The 26706-nt window shown below is 48.4% G+C and overlaps 2 protein-coding genes across 19 annotated transcripts in view, besides 2 other annotated features; one reads left to right on the top strand and one right to left on the bottom strand.

Moving 5' to 3' along the window:
• Positions 1–26706, bottom strand: part of TBCD (tubulin folding cofactor D) — a 193850-nt gene that overhangs the window by 105284 nt on the left and 61860 nt on the right. For 17 of the 18 annotated variants that reach the window (NM_005993.5, NM_001411102.1, NM_001437989.1 and 14 more), the window contains one exon: positions 25697–25791. In NM_005993.5, the coding sequence (NP_005984.3) occupies positions 25697–25791 (95 nt within the window). The other variant, XM_017024990.3, reaches the window with a different exon arrangement.
• On the top strand, positions 609–11197 carry ZNF750 (zinc finger protein 750). The gene is made up of 3 exons (NM_024702.3): positions 609–704; positions 7995–9612; positions 9754–11197. Exons 2-3 carry the CDS (start codon positions 8177–8179, stop codon positions 10487–10489), a joined length of 2172 nt encoding a protein of 723 aa, NP_078978.2. The 5' UTR covers positions 609–704; positions 7995–8176; the 3' UTR covers positions 10490–11197.
• Positions 2577–3078: an enhancer, noted in NCBI's record as "H3K4me1 hESC enhancer chr17:80795429-80795930 (GRCh37/hg19 assembly coordinates)". NCBI's record gives its function as "activates a minimal SCP1, AML or CMV promoter by ChIP-STARR-seq in naive H9 embryonic stem cells {active_cell/tissue: H9 hESC(naive)}" and the evidence as "EXISTENCE:reporter gene assay evidence [ECO:0000049][PMID:30033119]".
• Positions 11032–11878: an enhancer, noted in NCBI's record as "H3K4me1 hESC enhancer chr17:80786629-80787475 (GRCh37/hg19 assembly coordinates)". NCBI's record gives its function as "activates a minimal SCP1, AML or CMV promoter by ChIP-STARR-seq in naive H9 embryonic stem cells {active_cell/tissue: H9 hESC(naive)}" and the evidence as "EXISTENCE:reporter gene assay evidence [ECO:0000049][PMID:30033119]".

Here is a 26706-nt window from a genome sequence, read left to right as displayed (position 1 = left end):
CGGTGCCTGGTGTCGGGCAAGCTCCGGCAGGTCCCTGCAGCCAGGCTCTGGGATAAGCTCCCTCCCTGCCGGCTCAGCTCCTGAGGAGGACCAGGGACAGAGACTCTCAGGAGCAGGGTAGAGGGTGGAAGGTCCACAGATCCTCAAAGGCCTCACTGGACCTCATGGCAAGGACGCCATGAATACTGTGCCTCCCAGGGTATGCGCGCTTGAGAATCAATCCAAGTGTTTGCCTCCTGCGTACACATGCTCAAGTTCTAAAGGAAAGTCTCACATGTCTTTATCATGACGCCAAATATTCATCGGGTGTGATTCTGATGAATATAGTAATCTCTATTCTAACTGCGGACACATCGAAAGCCCTCTGACATATGGCCGTCCAGGCAGCACCGACGCCGCACTCACAGACAGTTGAGTCTGGAGACAGCGCTGGGAGTCGGCGAGATAACTTGCTTGCTGGGTCCAGTGCTGGGGAGGCTGCCCGCAGCAGCTCGGTGGGTGCAAACACATGAATCGTAGCTGCGGGCAGGAGGAATATCAGGTGCATCTCTACGCCCCGAGGGCTCAACTCCTACACTTAAATCCCTCCCACTGGAACAGCAGGCTCCAGTTTCACCCAGCAAGCGTGAGAACAGGTACTGCTTCCTGAGCACCGCCAGCCACCGGCACCAAGACCGGCCACATCCCAGCACTGCCCACCTCTGGTAAGTACTCACTATTTCTTTTCAAATTCAAGTTTTATTTTAAAACTCTTCTCAGACGTATCTAAAATACCCAGCTGAACGCAGCGTTTGCTCCGTGTCTGCTCTGCCTTGCTCTGGGCTCCGAGGATTACTCAGGACCCAGCAGGTGCATGGCTGGGATGCAGACCACGATTACAAAACTTCTAATGAGGCTGACACTTTATTCTAAGAACATGAACAAGCTTATCTGGAAATTAACTCCTTGTTCTGCCCTAAAATTCATAAAAGTTAAACCAACACAAATTCATATTATTGCTTAACTGCTCCTAACCTCAAAAACAAACTACAATAAATGCTAACAAGAGGTAAGGGTCATATATATATGTGTGGTGTATGTACATTAGGGTGAATTTAGGGTTATATGTGTGGTGTATGTACATTAGGGCTGAATTTAGGGTTATATATATGTGTGGTGTATGTACATTAGGCTGAATTTAGGGTTATATATGTGTGGTGTATGTACATTAGGGCTGAATTTAGGGTTATATATATGTGTGGTGTATGTACATTAGGCTGAATTTAGGGTTATATATATGTGTGTGTGGTATATGTACATTAGGCTGAATTTAGGGTTATATATGTGTGGTATAAGTACATCAGGCTGAATTTAGGGTTATATATATGTGTGGTGTATACACATTAGACACAGCTGAATTTAGGGTTATATGTTTGTGGTGTATGCACATTAGACAGTGCCGAATTTACTATCTAGTTTAACTTTTAATAGTTTTAAAGTTTAAAATAAGTACATAAGCTTACATGAAGTTTAAAATTGGGCATAAGCTTTCGAAAACAAAACCAAACCAAAGGGGTTAAGTTTCTGTTTGGTTGTTAAGGTCTTCTGTACATATAGACACAGATACAAAAGGGTTTTTTTCCTTATATGAAATTTCTCATAAACTTGATTTGGAGGAGAACAATTACTGACCAAGCACAGTCCGTCCACATCTGTGCCCCTAATTTTCACTGCGCATTAGCAAAGGCCTTCCAGCATTTCTGACCGGAGTTTCAGGATGAGGCGGCGACTGTAAAGTGGTGAGCGTTTGTTTACGAGCTCAGGTCTGTAACTCGGGATCTCCTGCCGAAACTAGAGTTAAGAGCCCCTGGTTGTTTTTCTGGATCCATTCTTCCAAATTACATTCCCAAAGACTGTCTTTTCCCCAGGTCTTGGTTGTCCTGAGGTTTATCTTTCATTTTAAAGAACCGAAAGGCTGGGAGGGAGTGGCAGTCAATCACTGGAAAAGCTCAATTGGAGTAAAACTCACAAATCTCGTTCTTGCGACATCACAGTGGGTAGGCGACAATGGTGTGTCCTTGAGTTATGCAACAACGCCACATCACAATATTGTAATTACAGCATGCCCTTCACAATGCTCCAGCCGAGCAGGCTCCTTGCCAGACAGCTGGACACCACCAAAAGGAACATTACAGCACAATCTCAGGGCACAGGTTAGGACGCATGACAAGCATAGTTACCCAGCCTGTCACAGAAACGTCCCATAAAGTTAAACTGTAATTACTTCCGCTGTGTCCTATCAAAGTTTTTTTTTTTAAGAACTCTTTCTCTTGTCTATTTTTCAAAGTTCAAACTCCTTAGAAGCTTGTTAAGCATCCCAACTTCTCACTATTACCCTAACAACTGTCTGCTGCATTAACTGTCCACACTTAGGAACCTTTGGAAAGACAGTATATTGGCAATTTAGACACAACCCCATGGCCAACCGAAACCACTCACTCTTCAAAGCACTGTCTGTGTGGGCAGCTACGCCCCAACACCCGGCCCAGTGCACGTTGAGCAGGAAGAGAAGCGAGCTCTCAGCTCAGCGCACTTTCCAGAAGCCAAGTGCATCGGCTGAGCACACAACATTTAAAATATTTAGAAAGGCACAGAGTGGCATCTGTAAATATGGCAAGAAAAGCCTGGTGAAAGCTCAGCTGGATCCTGAGCATGTTTGAAGCCACTGCACCCCACTGTTCTTACGCCCTTTAGTGTAGACACTGTCTACATTGGCTGCTTGATCTGAAATAACTTGGAGAAAGAAGGCTTTGTGCCAGGCCAGGCTCGGAGGAGGTGTGTTGGAGAAGAGGGCACACATTAGCCAGCAGCAGTCAGGGAAGACTCTGCATAAGTATTTCAGCAACAGCCACCTTTGATCCAGATCTGGAAGCTCTGTGGCATGTCCACCCTGCTAACGCTTCCTGCCGATCCAGTGGGAAATGAGAGGAGGATGAAACCCTCCTTCAGGATCACACCGAGGTCTTCACTGTAAAACACGCTAGCACTGCAGTTCTCAAATGAAAGCAGATAATGAATGAGACTCTGCTTTATTAACAGACAGACAGACAGCTCTCCGGGCATGTTATTAACTAAAATGGAAACACACCTCCCCCAGGAGAGAAAGACGCTCCGCACTTCTTTATCCCCTCTAGAGAAAAACTGCACCTCTAAATACAAATCCAAATTACTGTAAACAGCTAGATTTCTGGGTTACACTGTTTGGGCAACAACATACTCTTTTGGGAATATTTAACACCAGCAGCTGCCAGAGTACAAAGTCGGGCTGGTAGAAACTGACCACACAGAGACTATTTCAAACGCTGTGCCCACAGACAGCTGTGACAGCCTGAGGTACTGGCCGTCGGGTTTGGTTTCTTCATCCTTATAAACCTCACTTAAGCAGGACACAGAACTCACAGGCTGACATCATCATCATTTGAAAGCTTACCAAAGCAACAATGTTATCCCACTTACTTCTCTGACACTATTGTAGTTTTACAGATCAGGTGACCTACGCCCGGCTTACAACTGAAGCAGCTGTGCTCCCTGTTTTAATTAGCAAATTGTGCAAGCCTGAGAGGTCGGTTTATCCAAGGTTACTAAAACCACTGCCCGAGACTCCATATCGACACCAATTCCCTTCGAGCAATTGAGCTCCAAACACTCTCACCACCAGGGGCTTCCTCCCTGCCACACCCGCTTACGTGAACTAACTGATCAAAGAACAAAAGGGCAAATCTGACTAGAAAACAGACATATTCATTTAAAAGCAATTATTTCCCTAATTACTATTTTGGGCAACAGCAGAGCTTACACGTAACCTGCCTGTTGTAAAGCTTTTGAGAAAATCTAACCAACACGGGTTTTGTGGGTTTTTTTGTTTTTTTGTTTTTTGGTTTTGTTTTGTTTTGTTTTTTTTTTTGCCTAAAAGTATCAGCAATGTGAAATAATGCTGCTTCGAAAACTGAAGTCCTCATTTTCTTAAATCCTGAGGGAATCATTTGCTCCTCTGAGCGCTTGTGTTTCAGGCGCTAGAGGTATCAGCAATGTGAAATAATGCGGCTTCGAAAACTGAAGTCCTCAATTTTCTTAAATCCTGAGGGAATCATCTGCTCCTCTGAGGGCTTGTGTTTCAGGTGCTAGAGGCGGCGTTTCGGTCTCGCGAGGACGCAGCTCTCACTTGATGAACATTTTGCAACTGTCATCGTTTCGATCCTGATGCTTCCAGCTAGTGATGAAATCATCAGCTTTCAGATCCCTGCCGTAACACATCCTATACAATCATGGGAACCTGACTTGCAGAGGTTCTCACGCCTTCAGAACCAGGGAGCGCGGCGAGGCATGCCGGCACAGGCCCCACTGACTGAGCTGGCTGGCCCAGCGTTTGGCTGGAACCAGGCACCCGGCTTCTCTACTTCCTGAAGGGAGGCAGGGAAACTGCTTTCATCACCCAGAGCAGGTCTGCCCCACACGGTAGGGACTGAGCCCATAAAGAATTATTTCACGTTCTTTCTTCTAATAGGGGGAAATTAGAAAGACAGAGCTATCATTACGTGTTTCATTTGCTTGGCCTTGACCCGGTGCCTTGTAGCTTCTGTGGCAGCCCACGGTGGGAGACGGGTGCTGAGCGCGGGGTCTGAGCCCAGGGTGTCACCCGACACCCTCCCTGGTTGTAGGGTAACAAACATCTTGTCCTCATCCAAACCGTGCCTCGCTGTCCCTGCTACACAGAAACTCATCACAGCGAAGGTGGCAGGTCAGCAGAGCCCCTTTTCTACCCAAACCACTTCTTAGTAAATAAATGTCTTAAAGAACTTAAAGTATGTTAATAGAGGCAGTTTGTAGGGGGAAGGGTGGTTGTGTTTTTAAGAATTATAAATAAATGAGCCAGGCACGGTGGCTCATGCCTGTAATCCCAGCACTTTGGGAGGCTGAGGCGGGCAGATCGCCTGAGGTCAGGAGTTCAAGACCAGCCGGGCCAACATAGTGAAACCCCATCTCTACTAAAATTACAAAAAAATTAGCTGGGCGTGGTGGTAGGCACCTGTAATCCCAGCTACTAGGGAGGCTGAGGCAGGAGAATCTCTTGAACCCAGGAGGCAGAGGTTGCAGTGAACCGAGATCGCACCACTGCCCTCCAGCCTGGGCAACAAGACCAAAACTCCGTCTCAAAAAAGAAAGAAAGAAAGAAATATGAATAAATCAGTAGAGAAACCAGTTTGCTGAGAACAAAATCAGAGCACTTCCCCAGAGTTCGGGGCAGCCATATGAAAGCCCAGCCACCACCCCTGGCCCCTGGCGTGTGGGAGGAAGGACACGGGTGCAGGGAGGAGGGGTGGCGCCTTGCTTCAGGGACAGCTGCCTCCTAGGCTCCCACACACGTTGCTCTATTTTCAAGGGGCGGCTTTTCACTTGACTTTTAGCCACCCTGATGTCTACACATAAAACCTCACAGACTCAAGAATGGGCACATCTGCCCATTCCTTAAAAAAAATACTGCAGTTGAAACAGTTTTCTTAAGTCATTTCCATTTAGCTTTTTTTTGAGGCAGGGTCTCATTCTGTTGCCCACCAGGCTGCAGTGCGGTGGTGGGATGACAGCTCCCTGCAGCCTCAATCTCCTGGGCTCAAGGGATCCTCCCACCTCGGCCTCCCAAAGTGCTGGGATTACAGGCATGAGCCACGGCCCCCAGCCCTCCATTTAACTTTACTTTAATGTATTTTTTTTTTATTATACTTTAAGTTCCAGGACACAAGTGCAGAACGTGTAGGTTACACAGGTAAATGTGTGCCATGGTGGTTTACTGTACCCATCAACCGATCATCTAGGTTTTAAGCCCTGCATGCATTAGCTATTTGTCTTAATGCTCTCCCTCCCCCCGACCCCCACCCCTAAACAGGCCCTGGTGTGTGATGTTCCCCTCCCTGTGTCCATGTGTTTTCACTGTTCAGCTCCCACTTATGGGTGAGACCATGCACGTTTGGTTTTCTCTTCCTGCGTTAGTTTGCTGAGGATGCTGGCTTCCAGCTCCATCCATTTCTCCCTGCGAAGGACATGATCGCGTTCCTTTTTATGGCTGCACAGTATTCCATGGTGTATATGTGCCGCATTTTCTTTATTCAGTCTATCACTGATAGGCATTTGGGTCATTTAACTTTATTTTTAAGCTGTTTGAAAATATTTAGACCCTAAAGACCTTTTCTTTTTTACATTTTTAATACGAATTAAAGTGCTTAGCCTTGATCCATTGCACCTCCACCCCATCTCCCACTCACCCTGTCTCCCAGGCACAGTTGCTGCTTGAGTCGCTCCAGGCCCAGCTGCCAGGTGGACAGTCCCAGACTCTCAAAGCCTTTGTTCTGGGACGGGTGCGGTGGCTCACGCCTCTAATCCCAGCACTTTGGGAGGCTAAGGCAGGTGGATCACCTGAGGTCAGGAGCTCGAGACCAGCCTGGCCCACATGGCAAAACCCCGTCTCTACTAAAAATACAAAAAAAATTAGCTGGGCATGGTGGTGGGCGCCTGTAATTCCAGCTACTCGGGAGGCTGAGGCAGGAGAATCGCTTGAACCCAGGAGGCGGAGGTTGCAGTGAGCTGAGATTGCGCCATGGCACTCCAGACTGGGCAACAAGGGAGAAACTCTGTCTCAAAAAAAGAAAAACAGCCTTTGTTCTCAGCCTTGGGCGTGCGGCACAGCCTCTGAAGGAAACCTGAGGCTGGTAAGGGGGACACAGAGACCCTCTGGAAGAATCCAAAAGAGCAGGCCAGCTCTGACATCACACACACAGCCTCTGGTGGGTCCCAGGACCTGAGTGGGTGTGGCCAGAGGGCTGAACCCACTCCCTAAAGGTTAAGGGCCAGGACAGCTTCCTCCCATGACCCAACCATCTCTAAAGCGGATACTACTCACTCTGGTCTCCTCTCGGGCAGGAGTGTGGCAAAGCTTTGGTTCTTCCATTTGGTGGTGCATCTGGACGGGCAGGCGCTGCTGGCCATGCCTCCTGGCCAGCAGGAACCGGGTGACCGTGAAAGCATGTCTCACAATGCTGCTGTCACTCACAGGATGTACAAATTCACCAACAGTATTTCAACCATTTAAGTCAACATAAATATAGCATTTGTATTCATATCTGAGACAACATAAATGCTACTTAATGATAAAGCTGACTTTAGAAGCAGTAGGGTAGAGTCTTGTGTTCGAATGTTCTTCATTTTTAAACAAGCACACTAGAATACACCAACGACGTGGCTAAAGTGGGCAGAAACTGCCACGAGTGCTTAGGGATCGGCCCCAGGGGAGGCAGCAGCATCCATGGTCTTGGGTTCTACAGGCCGACGGCAGGGGCGCACAGCACTTGGGAGAGCTCCCAGCCAGCAGGTAGGAGCAAGTAGACGGTGGCCAGCCCACGCTCTGTGTAAAAGTGAGGGGCACTCTGTGACTGTGGGTACATGTTAAGGGGAAACAGCCACAAACCCCTTCGTATTTCACGTGAGAGTGTGGCCGATCACACACCCACTGCTTCAAGCGTGTAACCCCCAAGCAGAGTCGGGCAGCCCTGGGACAGGACTCTGTCCAGACCCTGGGAGGGGGCTCGGTGTCCTCAGCCCCCGGCAGGGCGCTTTCGAGGAAAGGTCCAGGTCACAGGATGAAAGTTCCCAAAACTCAAAGGCTTACAGGCATTCTCAGAACAGACACTCAACGCACCACACACCACACTCCACCTCTAGGCCCCGAGGTGACTCTTTCAGATCAGACTCAGAAAACAGAAAACACGGTGGGGAGTCAGCAGCCAGGTTACCAAGGGTAGGGCAGGGCTGCTTCTGTGACCGGCAGCTGCTCCCCTCAGGAGCAGGCAGTTTCAGCCCTTCAGGGGTTCTGCTTCAGGGATCCTGTGGCACTGTGGCGAGCCGAGGCCGGCTTCTCGCCGACCCCTCACTCGCTGTCCTGACACCAAGACTGCTCTTTATTACAGCTCCCAGCCGCCAGATGACGGAGGCTCTCGCCAGACCCTCAGCACGCAGAGCTGGCTTCTGATAGAAGTGATCGGGAAAGAAAGCAAAGCGGGAGGTGCCTCTTTAGAAACCACGAAGTGCACGCGGCGTCGACAGTGATCACGCCACCTGGACAGCCAGAGTCCAAGGCATAAGGAGGAAAATGAGTCTCCTCAAAGAGCGGAAGCCAAAAAAGCCACATTACATCCCCAGGCCTCCAGGAAAGCCCTTCAAGTATAAATGTTTCCAATGTCCCTTTACTTGCAATGAGAAGTCACATCTTTTTAATCACATGAAGTATGGTCTTTGTAAAAACTCGATTACTTTAGTATCAGAGCAGGATCGAGTTCCCAAGTGCCCTAAATCTAACTCACTAGACCCCAAGCAAACCAACCAGCCCGATGCCACGGCGAAGCCAGCCTCTTCCAAGTCTGTCGCAAATGGACTCTCTGCCTTCGACTCGAAGCTTCAGCACAGCTCTGCCAGGGAAGACATCAAGGAAAACCTGGAGCTGCAAGCCCGGGGAACCCACAGGTGCCTGGGACAGAAGCCAGCCCTCCACAGGGCATCACCCTGCAAGAGCCCAGCTCCGGAAGCCGCCCTCGGTGCCCAGCCTGCTCTGGAAGGCGCAGCTCGGCCTTCTGCATTTGTTCCAGTCGGCGAGCACAGACTCAAGGGGCCAGACAACGCCGAGGCGCCCGAGACACTGGCTTTACACAACCCCACTGCCAAGGCCGTGTCTTTCCACACCAAGTCGGCCTTCCACACTCCTGGCTACCCCTGGAAAGCCGGCTCACCTTTCCTTCCACCAGAGTTTCCACATAAAATCTCATCTACAAAGGGGCTTGGGGCCATTTCCCCTTACATGCACCCCACAATCCCAGAGTACCCGCCTCACTTTTACACAGAGCACGGGCTGGCCACCATCTACTCGCCTTACCTGCTGGCTGGGAGCTCGCCTGAGTGTGACGCACCCCTGCTGTCAGTCTACGGAACCCAAGACCCGAGACACTTCCTGCCTCACCCGGGGCCGATCCCTAAGCACCTGGCTCCATCTCCAGCCACATACGATCACTACAGGTTTTTCCAGCAATATCCCTCTAACCTGCCGATTCCTTACGGATTTTACAGGCCAGAGTCTGCATTTTCCTCCTATGGTCTCAGACTCCCACCTGTCACTGGCCTCACCCGAGATCAGAGCTCTCACCTGCTTGAAGAAGCCACCCTGGTCTATCCAGCCTCGAGTCCTTCCAGGTTAAACCCTTCGGACCCCAACAGAAAACACGTCGAGTTCGAAAGTCCAATTCCTGAGGCTAAAGACTCCTCCAAGGCTGGGCAGAGAGACACGGAAGGGTCCAAAATGAGCCCCCGCGCAGGGAGTGCAGCCACGGGCTCCCCAGGGAGGCCGAGCCCCACCGACTTCATGCAGACGAGCCAGACCTGCGAAGGCCTGTACGACCTCTCCAACAAGGCAGCCTCCAGCGCACTGGGAAGACTCTACCCGCCAGAGCAAAGCCTCACAGCCTTCAGGCCTGTTAAGAAAAGCACAGAATGCCTACCTGCCCAGGCTGCTGAGACCACAGCAGAGTCTCCAGTAAGGTAAGAAAATGTCATTTTCAAAACCTCCAAGGGAATGTTTCTGGTTGGGTTCCATGAGCCAGGCTTATACTTGCTCACACTGCTTCACGCAGTTGCTTTTCTAAGCAAGCTCCTACTAAGCTTTTTCTTGGCTTCTTCTAGCCTCAATGTTGTGAACGGAGACCCTCCTGCTCCGACCGGAAGCGCCTCTCTCGTCTCGGAGGCCGCGCCTTCCAGTCCGGACGACAGCTCCGGGATGGGCCCCCTCAACCTCTCCAAGAAATCAGAGATAAACCTGGCAGCCACCCACGAACCCACGTACCAAGGCAGCCCCCAGGCGGAAACCGCCAGCTTCTCAGAGCTGCAGGACCTTCCACTCAATCTCTCGGTGAAGGACCCCTGTAACACCCAGGCTCCGAGGCCTGCCTTCCCCGGTCGACCACGAGCTGCAGAACCTGCTGCTGCTGTTCCACAGAAGACTGGGACAGAAGGTTCTGAGGATGGGCCCAGCCACCCTGAGACCAAGCCAGGCAGCCTCGACGGTGACGGGGCCCCACCCACAGGCCCCGGCGAGGAGGCTCCAGACGCATGCGCGGTGGACAGCAGCGAGGAGCAGAAGCAGACGGCAGCCGTGGCCCTGTGCCAGCTGGCGGCCTACAGCCCCAGGAACATCCGGGTGGGCGATGGGGATGCTGCGGCCCCGGAACCTGCCTGCCGGCAAGACACACCCACACTGAGCTCCATGGAGAGCCAAGAGGCCCAGTGTGACCTCAGACCCAAAGGACAAAAGAGGACAAGTCTAAGGGATGCTGGAAAATCCCAGCAAGGAGCTAAGAAGGCGAAGCTGCAGGACACGGCCAGAGTGTTCACACTACGAAGGAGGGCCCGGGTGTCCTAACGCCGGGTTCACACGTGTGTTCACAGAGCTACGGCCACACACACGCCTTCCAAGGTGGCAAGCTACAACACCTCTGAACTGGCACTTTCACATTTTTACAAATGCAGCTGCTGCTTCTCAAAAAAACAAACAAACAAACAAACAAAAAACCCTCCAATTCAGTTTTTATAAATATTAAGCATGAATATTAAAAGGTGCTTCTACTTTTGGTTGTAAAAACACCTGAATGACTCTAAGACTGATATGTATTTTCAAGTCTAAGCTGTCTTACAGAAGATCTTTTATAAATGTTTCCTTATAAATATCTCACCATTACAACAAATTGTTTTAACTGTTTTTCTATTAGCTCTAGCTGCATATTTGATGTAAATGACAATTACTGAAAAAATGTCAGAAAAAACATTTTCAGTACTAACATTAAAGTGCCATATGTAAAAAAGAAAAATGTGATTTGTATAACTAAATAACACACAAACATCAAGAGGCTATTTATACAAATAATTTATTTCCACTAGGGAAAGTGCATTACTGGTGAAGGTATTATCAATTTATTCTACTTGCTTATAATGTTACAGTGAATGTTCTGGCTTACTCTGCCTCACTTTCCATTCCCCAAAATGATGTGTATGTTGCTAATTTTCCAATAAACTCATATGAACCATAAGGAAACATAAAATGCAAATAAACATAAATCTATGTTATCCTTTAGAATATTTTGCCGTAACAGTCAATGAAAAAGAGCTGATAGCTGTGGCAGCGATTAACCTGTGAACGGGTGCGTGTATGCACATTCAATTGTGTGGGTGTACACGTGTGCTATCTGTGTGGGGGGGGTGTGCACATTCGCCCATGTGGGTGTGCATGTCTGCGAGTGCGTGTAGGTGTCTGCTTGTGCATGTCTGCAGATGCACGTGCACATTTGATCGTGTGGATGTGTGCATGTGCACGTCTGCGGGTGTGGGTATGCGCTTGTGCATCTCTGCGGGTGTGTGCACATTCTATTGTGTGGGTGTGCACGTGTGCATATCTGTGGGGGGTGCGCATTCAATTGTGTGGGTGTGCGTGTGTGCTATCTGTGGGTGTGTGCGCATTCGATCCTGTGGGTGTGCGTGTGTGCATATCTGCGGGGGTGTGTACACGTGATTGTGGGGGTGGGTATATGGGATTGTGTGGGTATGCACGTGTGCATATCCGTGGGGGGCATGCACACTCGACTGTGTAGGTGTGCATGTGTACATACCTGCGGGTGTGTACACATTTGTGTTAGTGTGCATGTGTACATATGTGGGAGGGGTGTACACATCTGATTAGGCGTGCACATTCGATCCTGTGGGTGTGCACATGTGCATATCTGTGTGGGGGTGCACATCTGATTAGATGTGTGTGTGTGCATCTCTGGGTGTGTGCACATTCAATCATGTGAGTGCATGCGCATTATGTATGGGTGTGTGCACACTCGATTCTGTGGGTGTGCATGTGTACATATCTGCAGGTGTGTGCGCATTCGATTGTGTGGGTGTGCATGTGTGCGTACCTGCGGGTGTGTGTGCATTCAATTGTGTGGGTGTGCACGTGTGCAATCGGGGGGGGCACATTCCATTGTGCCGGTGTGCACGTGTGCATATCTGCGGGGGGGGTGCATTCGATTGTGTGGATGTGCACGTGTGTGTATCTGTGGGTGTATGCATATTCAATCGTGTGCGTGTCCACGTGTACATATCTGCGGGTGTGTGTGCATTCGATTGGGTGTGCATGTATCTGTGAGTGCACATTCAATCGTGTGGGTGTCCACGTGCGCATATCTATGGGTGTGTGTGTGCATTAGATTGTGTGGGTGTGCACGTGTGCCTGTGGGGGGGTGTGTGTGCATTCAATTGTGTGGGTGTGCACATGTGCATATCTGTGGGGGGCGCATTCAATCGTGTGGGTGTCCACGTGTGCATATCTGCGGGTGTGTGCATTCGATTGTACGGGTGTGCATGTGTGTCTGTGGGTGTATGCACATTCAACTGTGTGGGTGTGCACGTGTGCATATCTGCGGGGGGGTGTGCATTCGATTGTGTGGATGTGCACATGTGCGTATCTGTGGGTGTATGCATATTGAATCGTGCGTGTCCACGTGTACATATCTGCAGGTGTGTGTGCGTTCGATTGGGTGTGCATGTGTGCGTATCTGTGAGTGTATGCACATTCAATCGTGTGGGTGTCCACGTGCTCATATCTATGGGGGTGTGTGTGCATTAGATTGTGTGGGTGTGCACGTGTGCCTGTGGGGGGGTGTGTGTGCATTCAATTGTGTGGGTGTGCAAAGGTGCATATCTGTGGGGGGGCACATTCAATCGTGTGGGTGTCCACGTGTACATATCTGCGGATGTGTGCATTCGATTGTACGGGTGTGCACGTGTGTGTATCTGTGGGTGTATGCACATTCGATTGTGTGGGTGTGTGCTATCTGTGGGGGTAGTTGTGCACATTCGATTGGGTGTACACGTGTCAACGTGCATGTGTCAGTGTGCACATGTACACGTGTGTATGCACTTCTGCATCGTGCATGTGTGTGAGCGTGCATGTGTGCACATGGGTTTAAAGCAGTGGTCAAGTACCGGCATGTGCGAAGCACCCCTGGGGCTACTCAATGGCCATCCATGGGGTCCTCAGGCTTCAGAGTGCTTTAGGAGCGTAGACTTCCGGAGCCTCAGCCCCTAAGGCTCTGCTTGAGAAAGGGTTTCTCCATCCCCATGTCCCCTCTCACAACAGCCCTTTCTCTCACTTTTCAAGAAAGGCAGCCTCTCACCCAACACACTGGAAACCATGCAGTGGACACTACGATGGGAACTGCTCCAGAGACTGGGAAATGCTTCCCCATGCAGGTGGCTGTCAACGCATCACTTCACAGGACTGAGGCCACCCTACTGAAGCTGCTCAGTGACAGAGCACAGAGGTCAGGCGTGAGCTTGGAAAAAGTTGAAACACCAGCATTGCTAAAGCAAAATTTCTGCCATTCCTAGCTACTTGAATAAGACTTGAATGAATAAGACTTCTTAGCACTTAAAACTGAAAGTAAAAATAGGGGCCGGGCGTAGTGGCTCACACCTGTCATCCCAGCACATTGAGAGGCCAAAGCGGATGGATTGCTTGAGGTCAGGAGTTTGAGACCAGCCTGGGCAACATGGAAAAACACCGTCTCTAATAAAAATAGTCAGCCAGGTGTGGTGGCACATACCTGCGGTCCCAGCTACTTGGGAGGCTGAGGCGGGAGGATGGCCTGAGCCTGGGAGGCAGAGGTTGTAGTGAGCCATGATCACACTACTGCACTCCAGCCTGGGTGACAGAGTGAGACCTTTTCTCAAAAAAAATACATAAATAAAAAGCAAAAATTGTACTGTTGCAGAACCTTGCCTTATTCTGGTTAAAAGCATGGCTCACGGCCAGGCATGGTGGCACACACCCATAATCCCAGCACTTTGGGAGGCTGAGGTGAGAGGACTGCTTGAGCCAAGGAGTTCAAGACCAGTCTGGGCAACACAGGGAGACCCCATCCCTACAAAAAATACAAAAATTAGCTGAGCAATGGGATGTTTGCCTGTAGTCCCACCAACTTGAGAGGCTGAGGCAGGAGGATTGCTTGAGCCCAGGAGGTCAAGGCTGCAGTGAGCCAAGATCATACCACTTCACTCCAGCCTGGGTGACAGAGCAAGAATCATTTCAAAAAATAAAAACAAAAAAAGCCTGACTCATCAAAAGATAACTCAAACTAAACAGCTATCTTATTAAGAGCTAAATTTCAATAATATGCTATTTTATGTTGTTTTGGTCAACTCTGTACTCATAATTTTTTAAAACCCAATCTAAAAAAACTTCTAAGTAACTAGCACCTTAAAACTTAAAAGTATAGTTAAAAAAATAATAAAAAAAAAAGGTCATGAACACCTGTGGAAAAAATAAATAAATAACTAGCATCTTATGGCCATACAAAATGCAAAAGTTGAAGTTTATGTTTATGTTATTTTCTTTCGTTGCAGATAAATGATAGATCAATAAAGATTCTTAGGCACAGAAATACATTACATTAGGGTAAAATGCTCTGGGAAAAAAGTAAATGGAAATATGGGCTTAAGAAGAAAAAGGAAGAATAAAATTTCTGTGAGAGAAAAACTTGCCTATGAAATTGTTTTTTAGACAGGGTCTCGCTCACTGGCCCAGGCCGGAGTGCAGTGGCGCGATCACAGCTCACTGCAGCCTCAACCTCCCGGGGCTCAAGTGATCCTCCCACCTCAGCCTCCCAAAGTGCTGGGAGTACAGATGTGAGACATGGCGCCCAGCCCTGTAAATTTTTTAACGAAGAATGGTAGATTATTCTACCTCAATTTCCCAGATTTATTCAGATGAGTGACGCAATAGTTTTATTTTAAAATGACAATACTCAGGATGGCAAATAGTTATTTGCAACTGGTTAGAGTTCTATAAAACTTGTAAGAGGGATACAGAGTTTGTCACAATTCCAAGGGGTATCTGAGGACACTGCTTCAAGCTGTCCCTAAAGCAGCAGCAAGGACACCAGCAGGTCCCCCAGCCCTGTCAGGCACCCACCTCAGACAACCACTACACCAGCCTAAAAGGCACACGGTCAGACGCAGAACCATAAACACAGGCGCAGTGCTGAGTCGCTCACCTGGGCACTTCTGTTTATATACACCAGTATGTTTTGGCAAAGAACAAAAATATTATACTTCCAGCTTTCAGAAACTAAACAGCCGTGCAGGGAGCCGTGACAAGACATCACATGCCACGGTCCACACTCAGGACCCAAAGCCTCACACCCTGCAGACAAGGAGCTCTCACATCACACCCCCAAGAATACAGCCCTCCGTTGTCAAGGGCCCAAAGATTCTGAGAACACCATTTGATCGCTCACCAAAAAGCACCAGGAATCATCTTAAATGACAAATAGGGAGAAGCAGGGGCAGAGCATCCTCCTGCAACAGGGCAGCATGGAGAACCCCGCCCAAGCACAATGGTTGTGGCACAGGCTACATGTGCCTGATGCATGGCGAGCTACACTGTGAAAATTCTACACTCCGACACAATTCCTCCAAAGGTCATCTGCAATAGCTCACCCATTGCAACCAGGATAAGCCCTTTGTGTCTATCTCTAAAAGCAAAATCGATTCCTAGAGCTTTATAGCAAAAAGAAAAAAAAAAGAGACTTATTTTTTAACTACGTTTCTGCATTTATGCATGATCCGACTTAAGAACTAAACACTCGTAATTTTTACATACAAAAAGTGATAAGCTCTCAAAAAGCTGAACATAGAATTACCACATGACCCACTAATTCCACTTCAGGGTATATACCCAAAGGAACTAAAAAAAGGGGTGTCAAACAGGTTCTTGTATCCATGTCCACAGCAGCATTATTCACAATACCCAAAAGGTGGGAATAACCCAAGCGTCCACTGACAAATGAATGGATCAAGAAAATATGGCCAGGGGCGGTGGTGCACACCTGCAATCACAGCCACTCAGGAGGCTGAGGTGGGAGAGTCGCTCAAGCCCAGGAGTTGGAAGCTGTGGTGTACTATGATTGGGCCTGTGAATAGCCACTGCACTCCAGCCTGGACAATACAGTGAGATCCTATCTTTAAAAAATAAATATATGGGTCGGGCGCGGTGGCTCACACCTGTAATCCCAGCACTTTGAGAGGCCAAGGTGGGTGGATCATGAGGTCAGGAGATCGAGACCATCCTGGCTAACATGATAAAACTCCATCTCTACTAAAAATACAAAACGAATTAGCCGGGCATGGTGGCGGGCGCCTGTAGTCCCAGCTACTCAGGAGGCTGAGGCAGGAGAATGGCGTGAACCTGGGAGGCGGAGCTTGCAGTGAGCCGAGATCGCACCACTGCACTCCAGCCTGGGTGATAGAGCAAGACTCTGTCTCAAAAAAAAATAAAAATAAAAGTAAAAATAAAATAAATAAATATATGGTATGTCCATACAATGAAATATTATTCAGCCTTTAAAAGAAAGAAAATTCTGATACATGCTACAACACAGATTAACCTTGAAAACATGATGCTAAATAAAATAAGCCAGACATGAAAGGCCAAATATTGTCCAATTCCACTTGTACAAGATCTCTAAAACAGGCAAAGTCCTTTTTCAAGCAGAAAGTAGACTAGAGTTACAAAGGGTTGAAGGGAAGGAGCATCAGGGGCGAGTGACTTCTTAATCTGGGGTGATGAGAAGTTTTGGAACCAGATAATGGTGATGGTTGTACAAAAGTGAGAGTGTAATTAATGCCACTGGATTAACATGCTTAATAATAAAAAGAGCAAATTTGTTATACATATTTTGCCACAATTTTCTAAGTAATAATAGAATATTCTAAAAACCATGGAACTATATATTTTAAATGGGTGAATTATATGGTAGACGAATTACATATCAATAAAGCTGAAAAAAAATAAAGGATCCTTGAATTCACATGTAAGAGAAGATGCCGACAACGCCCTTTCTAAACAGTCTTAACGGGGGCCCACTGCCGTCTGCCCCCACCAGTGTTAACGTTCAGCCAAAATGCCACGTTCTACAGGGAGGGAGGGAGGGAGAGCAGGGCGGAGTGCAACACGAAACACACACGTTCACACAAGGAAAAAAACACCATTAACACAAAAAAAGAACAATCGGTCCACGTACAAAGTCAAAGATGTCTCATGCTTTGCATTTTCCTGAAAACCTGAAAGCTTAAAAGCCTACCAAGATTAAACAAGCCAACAAAAACAGGCGGGGAACTGGACACTGGGGCCATGTCAGGACGTGCTCAGACCCAACCTCTCCCAGGGCCCCTTGATCACCTGGGAACTGAGGTACACAGGCCTGCAGGGGGCAGCAGGGTCAGGCCAGGCCACAGCCAGGGCTGGACAGACAGCAGGGCCCCCCACAAGAGCCTGAGCCAGCCTCGGCACTGAGCCCCAACGGCTCTACCAGGGAGGGAATGCCCTGTCCCTAGACCTCAGCTGGAGCTGCTCTCCTGGAATTTACCATCCACCTCAGTGCTCCAGAGCCTGTGAGGAAACTCTGGTCCTCCACCCCTTCCCCCTCTCAGAATCGGACTCCTCTCCTATAAAATATCCCTTCTGAAGGAGCCTCTGCGGGTTTCCATGTCGGCTGCTTCCTCCCCTTTTCTCCACCTCCCCATGCCAGTGAGCCTGGGAACCCGGTTCAAGCTTTTCCACCCATTCACCTTCCTCATCTCTCACTCCCTCCTGTGTGAACTCATCAATCCATAACTTTGTAGACCATTACTATGTGGAAGGCTCCAACATGTCACTCACTGACCTTACTATCTCACTCTCTTTCACTGAATAGAACAGCAAAGTCGTTGAGTTCAGAATCCTACATGCAGCGTATTTCCTTTTCTCTTTCTTCACAGCTCTGGTCTCACTCCGAACACTGTGGTGGCTCCCGAATGGCCTCACTCTCCCTCGCTCTTCCTTTCCACTGCACCCCCGTGTATTCCCCAGTATCTGACTTTATGTTGAATAATTTCCAAACCCCTCACTGTGTTCCTGAAGCCCCTCTAGGATCTGGCCCCCAGGCGCTTTTCTGTGCCCACTCTTCTGCTCTTTCCGCTGTCCCAGCTCGTGCGAGCCTTCGTTCCTCTTTGAGATGCTGCGGTCAGGAGTCCATCCTGCTCGGCTCCTTCACGGTAGAAGCTCTCAGCGTAAATGTCGCCCCAGGAGGTCTTCCCCAAGTCTTATTCAAGTCACTGGTTGGCCCCATCACTGAGGATCTCACCGCCCTTTTGTATTTTCTTAACGACTTTATCCATTCTCTGAAATTGCTCCCTTCGTTTCCTTGTTTAATGTCTGAATCTCCCTCCAAACCCTGTCCCCTTCACCGTCACAGAAACGCTGTGTCCTCACCTCAACTGCCAAGAGCAGTGGGCGCCAATCGCACTTGTCATAGGAAGTACGTGCAGAGTTTTCGTCATCCAGAGAGAAAAACATGACAGTTTCTTTTGGAAGCCAGAAAACACAGTCCACAGGTGGGAATTAATCTACTGAATGGTGCTTTTAACAAGACCCCAAGGCAGCTGCAGCAACATCGTCGTAAGACGCTGCTTGTACGTCTTCGATGAACACTGAGAGCGTGTGCTCCAATGCAACTCTGTACATTTTTCAAAATTTATAACATTTATATAAACTTATAAAAATTTAATGTTTATTAAAATTTTTTCGAAATTTATAAAATGTATTATACATTTAAAAATTTTCTCAAAACATCACCTTAGATAAGAGTTAGGCAGTCTGTATTTCCGACATGCAGGGCTTACTACCTGATGCAGGTTCACAGGGACCTTGAGCCTCCTAGCAGTAAAACAAACATGCTCTCCAACCTTCAGAAAGTTGCAGGAAGGTTAGAATGGGCTTCTCTGTGGCTTTGGGACACCAGACCATTACACTTTATAAGACATGGGGTGACAGACTGCACCTTCTGGGGGAAGGGGTAGGCCTCCTTGAGAGGGGGCAGTGAAGGACCCCAGCCTGAAGATTGCATAGGGAGCTTCCTAAGTTTGAGGGAAGGCAGGAGAAAAGCTTTGTAGATGCTAATTTAACAGAGACCTGCTTTAGCCACACAGTGGGTATAAACAGACCTATGTCACCAACACAGCCCTCAAATCTGTTATTTGGGAAACACATATGCAAAGATTTCTTCCTTTTTAGGCTTTAAAGCAAAGGTTAAGTGCTGGGAAGCAAGTGTGAGCCACTGTGCTCAGTCTTAGACAAAAATATGCTCACAGATCTCAAGAAAACTGTGGACAAAGAACTAAAGGAGACCAAAAGAACAACATTTAAACTAACATGGAATGTTGATAAAGAGACAGAAATTATAAAAACAGGCTGGGCACAGCAGCTCACTCCTATAATCCCAAGGCAGGCCAAGGCAGGAAGATCACTTGAGTCCAAGAATTTGAAAGCAGTCTGGACAATAAAGTGAGATCCTGTTTCTACAATTTTTTTTTCCAGTGCAGCAGGCCTGTGGTCTCAGCTACTCAGGAGGCTGAGGCGGGAGAGCTGCTTGGGCCTGGGAGGTTGAGGCTGCAGTAAGCCGTGATACCACCACTGCACTCCAGCCTGGGCGACAGAGCAAGACCCTGTCTCAAAAAGAAATTATTAAAAGAGAAACTAAAGAGAAATTCTGGAACTGAGGACTCAACAGCTGAAATGAGTGCAGAACCTAAGAGACTCATAGGGCACCATCAAGCTTACCAACATGTATATTAACACAACAAGAGGACTCAACAGCTGAAATGAGCACAGAACCTAAGAGACTCATAGGGCACCATCAAGCTTACCAACATGTGTATTAACATAACAAGAGGACTCAAGAGCTGAAATGAGGGCAGAACCTAAGAAACTCATAGGGCACCATCAAGCGTACCAACATGTGTATTAACATAACAAGAAGACTCAAGAGCTGAAATGAGTGCAAAACCTAAGAGACTCATAGGGTACCACCAAGAGTACCAACATGTGTATTAACATAACAAGAGTCCCACAAGGAGAGGAGAGGGGCAGCAAAAATACCTGAAGAAACAATGACTGAAAACTACCCGAGTTTGATGAAAGACATGAATCTACACATCCAAGCTCAGAAAAACACCAAGTGCTAGTTATTATTACCCAAATCAATATGCACAATTCTCAATCAATAAGGATAGCAAGGGAAATAGGGTTCATACAAAATGTCCAAAGAGATCAGAACACTTGACATTTTTCAAAAAGCAAAATACTGATGAAAACCACAAAATGCATAATAAGGAGCACATGTATACATTTTATCAAAATAGTACAGTTGGCTGGGCGCAGTGCCTCACGCCTGTAATCCCAGCACTTTGGGAAGCCAAGGCAGGCAGATCACTTGAGGTCAGGAGTTCGAGACCAGCCTGGCCAACATGGAGAAATCTGGTCTCTACTAAAAATAAAAAAATTGGCTGGGCATGGTGGCGGGCGCCTGACTCCCAGCTACTCGGGAGGCTGAGTCATGAGAATCACTTGAACCTGGGAGATGGAGCTGGCAGTGAGCCAAGAGGGCGCCACTGCACTCCAGCCTGGGCAACAGAGCAAGACTCTGTCTCAAAAAAAGAAAAAAAAAAAAAAGGTAAACTTAAACCAATACATCCCCCCACCTGTGCTTCTTGTATCCAACAAAGGAAACCGTAAGGGTTCACAAACATTGTAGGAGCTTACTCATGGTGAGGAGTGCCCACCTCCTCCTGCCACAACAACAGAGGTGTTCAAAGAGGAGCCACAAAAAAGGTGAAAGGACCTACGCCAGGACCACTCAAGAAAAGTCCTGGAATTTGAATCACCTAAAATAAAGACCAAGTAGCCCTTTAACAGTAGTCCTCAAACAGAGGTGATGATGCAAAGAGAAAAAGAACATGGCCCACTGTCCACAGGCCGAGGCAGGAGGATCGCGTGAGTGCAGCACTGCGATCATGGCTCACTGCAGCCTCAACCTCCTGGACTCAAGCAATTCTCCCACCTCAACCTCCTGAGTAGCTGGGACTGCACCCAACTACCTTTTTAAAACAATTTTTGTAGAAACAGGATCTCATTTTGTTGCGCAGGCTACTTTCGAATTTCTTTAAAAAATTAGCTGGGCGTGGTGGTGTGCACAGAGTCAGAGACCAAGAAATAGGCTTACAGCACAACAGATGGAGATTCTGTGTGTGTGTGCACTGTATGTGTGGAGAGGAATCAGCAGGATTCCCTAAAAAGTAACCCAAAGAAAATGCGATGCTTTTTTCCTGAGTCCAGCAGGCAGAGTCCCCCTATTCAGAGGACTAAGGGCAGAAAGACCCAGGGTGCCTTCCAGGCAAACATCGCATCACTGCCTGCCCACCTGACTTCCCTAGTTTTACTTCTTCCTCCTTTAGCATGCACCAATGAAGCTCCACATTTCCTCTAAGACAAACAAAAGCTTTAGTCATCAAACATGCTCATCTATATTGTGTCTTTCTACGACATTTATTTGCCAAGCATTTGTTTTCGCGCTTTTTTTTCTTTTTTTTGAGACAGGATCTTGCTCTGTCACCCAGGCTGGAGTGCAGTGGTGCGATCTCGGTTCACTGCAACCTCTGCCTCCTGGGTTCACGCGATTCTTCTGCCTCAGCCTCCCGAGTAGCTGGGATTACAGACATGCACCACCACATCCTTGTATTTTTAGCAGAGACGGGGTTTCACCATGTTGGCCAGGCTGGTCTCGAACTCCTGGCCTCAGGTGATCCCCCCGCCTTGGCCTCCCAAAGTGCTGGGATTATAGGCATGAGCCGCCGTGCCCAGCCTGTTTTCACTTTTCAAACCAAACTGACAGAGAACCACAGTAACTCTCCAAGGAGACAAGGAGGTGCAGGGACAGCTCAGCCGTGTGACATGGAGGAGGCCGAAGGGCTGAGCATGAGCTGTGACACCAGAAAGACTTCCTGGCTCCCACAGCTGCAGTGTTTGTGTGTGTGTGTTTGTTTGTTCAGAGAGGGTGTCTCACTATGATGTCCAGGCTGGTATCAAATTCCTAGGCTCAAGTGATCCTCCTGCCTTGGCCTCCCAAGAGGCTAGGATTAAAGGCACCGCCACCACACGTGGCTCCCAACTATAGCTTTATATAAACAAGACGGCTCTCAGAGGAATGGTGTGAGGTCTAAAACAAAAACATAAAAAGCATGCTGCAAATGCTCATCAAATGTCAGCCCTGTCACCTCCTGAGTCAGCCCCAAGATGGGATCTCTTTCACCCCTGCCTGAAAGAACCCTTGCCCTGTGCAGAGACAGCACAGCTTCTCCATGTCCCACCAGGAACAGAATGGGGGCTGCAAAGAGGGTTCAGCTCACATGGAGGGCACCGCCAGGCAGAAGGGGCCAACCAACCATGCGAAGGTCATGGGCCAGTGTATTCCACATCACGTGTCAGTTTCTGAACCATAGCTTTACCCTTTTCGTTTATGATGCCAACACCCATATCCTCTCGCCCCAGCTGCCTGGGGTCAGTGCATGTTGCCATAAGACATGACAGAGCACACACACAAGCCAGTAGAGTCTCTTGTCTCCTTTGAGTGAACCTGGAGCTGGCTCCCCACAGGCAGGGACTTCATTCCATCCCAGCTACACATTCACACACACACCCTCACACACATCTAGTGTCACAAATAAACATTACGAGTCACTTACTTCGGATGGAACAAAACGTTAAATGAAACCACAACTTCATGGTTCTGGGGTCAGCAATGATTTCTTAGCTATGACACCAGAAACACAAGAAAGAAAAAGACTGATGAGCTGGACTTAATTAAAATTTAAAACCTGGGTCAAATATCACCATCAAAGAAATTGAAAACACACCAGGTACAGCCTACAATCCCAGCACTTTGGGAGGCTGAGGCAGGAGGATCACTGGAGGCCAGAAGTTCAAGACGAGCCTGGGCCACATAGTGAGACCCCCATCTCTACAAAAAACTTTTTTAATTAGCCAGGCATGAAGGCCAGGTGCAGTAGCTCACGCCTATAATCCTAGCACTTTGGGAGGCTGAAGCGGGGGGATCGCTTGAGCTCAGGAGTTCGAGACCAGCCCGGACAACATGGGAAAACCCCATCTCTATAAAAAATACAAAAATTAGCTGGGCATGGTGGCACATACCTGTAGCCCCAGCTACTTAGGGGACTGAGGTAGGCAGACCGCCTGAGCCTGAGAGGTGGAGGCTGCAGTGAGCTGAGATCACGCCACTGCACTCCGGCCTGGGCGATGGGAATGAGATCCTGTCTCAAAAAAAGAAAAAAAAGTTGCCAGGCATGGTGGTGCACCCCTGTAGTCCCAACTACTTGGGAAGCTAAGGTGGGAATATGGCTTGAGCCCAGGAGATCAAGGTGGCAACGAGCTGTGATGGGGCCACTGCACTCTAGCCTGGGCAACGGAGCAAGACTCTGTCAATCAATCAATAGAAAGTGAAAAGGCAACCATGGAACGCAATAAAACATTTGCAAATCATATATCCAATAAGAGACTTATATCCAGAATACATAAAAAAACTCTTACTTACAACAACAATTAAAAAAATATTTTTTTAAATGAGTAAAGAACTTGAAAAGACATTTCTCCAAAGAAGACATACAAACGGGCAAACACAGAAAATGCTCAGTGTCATCAGTCACTGGGGAAAAGCAGATGAAAAGCAAAACAAGGTGGCGCTTCACACTCACTAGGACGGCTTTTTTTTTTTTTTTTTTTTTTAAAGAAGCAGGGGGCAAGTGTGGTGGCTCACGCCTGTATTCCCCACACTCTGGGAGGCCAAGGCGGGTGGACTGCTTCAGCTGAGGACTTCAAGACCAGCCTGGGCAATGTGGTGAAGCCCTGTCTCTAACAAAACTAAAAAAAAAAATTAATGTGGCATGGTGGTGGGCACCGGTGGTCCCAGCTACTCAGGAGGCTGAGGTGAGAGGATCGCCTGGTCCTGGGAGGCAGAGATTACAGTGAGCAGAGATTGCATCACCACACTCCAGCCTGGGCAACAAAGTGAAACCGCGTCCAAAAAAAAAAAGATAAAAGCAAGTGTTGGTGAGGATCAGAGAAGCAGAACCCTCACACACTACAGGCAGGAACTTGAAATGGTGCAATCATTTTGGAAAAAGTTTGGCAGGTTCTTAGAAAGTTAAACGTGGAGTTACCGTATGACCCAGCATTTCTACTAGGCCTACACCCAACATCCACTCAAAAACGTGTACACGATGTTCATGGCAGCATTAACCTAACAGTGAAAGGTGGAAACAACCCAGATGTACATCAGCTGATGAAAAGGATGGACAAAACGTGGCGTGTGGTGCATTTACACAGCAGGACAAGGCTCTGCCACAGGAAGGAAGGAGGCACTCCACAGGCTACGACACAGAGAAACTCAGCCGAAGAATTCGGACGCCAAAGATCACATGTCGTAGGTTCCACTGTTAGGAAATGTCTATAAAAGACAAATTCACAGAGACACTGGAGACATGGCTGCCAGGGCGGGGGTGCTGGGGAGAGTAAAGAGTGAGTTCTTAAACACAGGGTTCCTTTGGAGGCAATGAAAATGTTCGGAAATTAAATTATGGCAATAGTTGCGCAACTCTGTAAATATATAAAAACCACTTAACCGTACACTTAAATGAGTGCATTTTATGGCATGTAAATTAGATCGCAATAAAGAGGTCTAAACATTAAAGAAGTCTGGAAAAAAATAAGCAGAGACATTAAAAAAAAGAACTGCAGGCTCTAAAAGCTCTCCCCATACATCAAAATGCCAAGTGCAAAGCGGTCACTTCAGACGCCACCACAGCTCCACACTGGGAAGACGTGAGGCCACCACATCTCAGGTGTCTTTATTTTGGACAGAATCAAGTCTCTGTGGTGAGGCCCTCTCAGGATGGGCCCCCACTCTATCCTGTACAGACATCCTTTCCTTCCTGCCCTCAGAGGGCACTGCCAGCCACACCCAGGGACTCTCCCCACCAAACACAGACAGGGCTGCGTGTGGCCACGGCACAAGAGCTGGTCTGGGGCAGTGCCCCTGCATCTGCCATGCTGTGCCCTCTGTCCCCACCCCACTGCTGGCCACTGCAGAGCTCCCCTGGCCCTCCACCCCAGTTCCCACCCTGGTTTCACGCTGGCGTGAGCCTCATCTCCAGGGAGCACCACGTCACTCCAGGTGACCCAGGATGCTGCCAGGGGTACCTGGTTCTACAACTGAAGCAGGTGCCACTGCATGTGTCCTTAAGGGGCGACAATGTCCCTCAAGAATGAAAACCGGTTTTGGGGAGTAAGAAAATCAGACATTACAAGGATTCGTGGCCCTCCAAAACCAGCTACACAGGGTAATCTGTGGCATTAAAATTCCACAGCAGACAAAAGAGGCAATTAGGAAATTACAAAGGCCAATGCGAGAAAAAGGTAGACAGACCTTGTTCTCAAGCTCTTCTGGGCGTGCCCGCGGCAGGGCCACACCGCGGAGATGGGTTCAGACGAAGGGCTGCAGCCTGCCACGGACAGCCTGGTGACGCAGCTGACCGTGCTTCAGCTACTCACCATCCACGAGTCGAGATGGCAGCAACAGGCCTCTCCTGCCCAGCTCCGCCAGCGCCAGACATCCCCCCTGACCGTGCCTCAGCTACTCACCATCCACGAGTCGAGACGGCAGCAACAGGCCTCTCCTGCCCAGCTCTGCCAGCGCCAGACATCCCCCATGCCACGCCTTGTCAGTCTCCTGGAAACTGAGAGCAACAAAGATCCTGAGACCACAGCCCACGTGTCAGCTTTTGGTTCAAAGCCCACAGCATGGCAAGGAGCACAGCCTGGCAGGTCCATATCCTCTGCCTGTAAGGCTCACGTAAGGCTCACTAAAACCCATTCCTAAGTTTTTAAAGTATCAAGGCTGGGCACAGCGGCTCACGCCTATAATCCCAGCTACTCAAGAGGCTGAGGCAGGAGAATCGCTTGAACCAGGGAGGCGGAGGTTGCAGTGAGCTGAGATCGCGCCACTGCACTCTAGCCTGGGTGACAGAGCAAGACTCCGTCTCAAAATAAAAAAACAAATAATCAGTTGGCTGAAGAAATAACACACTGCAACTGAGTATGAAGACAACAGCCGTGCCTACCCCAGGGCCTCTTCAGATCTCCCGAGAGTGAGGACAAGTCTTGGTCAGTCCCCAAACAAAGAGACCGTCCCGTCTGTGCCGTCCCAGGTGGGGTTTTCCCACCACAGTGGTGTCGCTCCAAGTACGGGCAACACCCACGCTCCCATAGAAAGAAATAAGACACTTCAGAAAAGTAGGAACTTAAAACAGGAATCCCAGCACAGGAAGACGTCAGTGGAAAAGGGAGCAGGAAGACCTTCTTTAAATGACACCCCACTGTTTAGTCAAACTCAGAATTAAATGCTACAATAATGAATTGGCATTTCAAGATTTTTCACAGTATTTGAAATATGAACTTTTAATGAACAATTGCAATGGCCATCGATCAAGTCATAATATTTTATACGTACTAATTTCCCCGGGGTGGTTCAGAAGCTCTCCTGATTCTAATTAAATTGACTTGACAGCAAATAAATGTTTAGGAAAACCCACTAAATTGTATGACTAGCTGGCAATCAGTATGGACAAGAATACTTAGGAAAATCGGAGAGT

This window comes from Homo sapiens, chromosome 17, assembly GCF_000001405.40.
Source record: "Homo sapiens chromosome 17, GRCh38.p14 Primary Assembly".
In the NCBI taxonomy this organism is placed as follows: domain Eukaryota; kingdom Metazoa; phylum Chordata; class Mammalia; order Primates; family Hominidae; genus Homo; species Homo sapiens.
Note: the sequence above shows the minus strand (reverse complement) of the source record. Positions and strands in the feature narration are given on the sequence as shown.

What these genes read in the sequence shown, in the direction of transcription:
- ZNF750 (NM_024702.3), top strand. Translation starts at nt 8,177, where the DNA reads ATGAGTCTCCTCAAAGAGCGGAAGCCAAAAAAGCCACATTACATCCCC. An exon ending in ACAGCAGAGTCTCCAGTAAG is followed by an intron (nt 9,613 to 9,753) that starts GTAAGAAAATGT and finishes GGCTTCTTCTAG; the next exon opens with CCTCAATGTTGTGAACGGAG.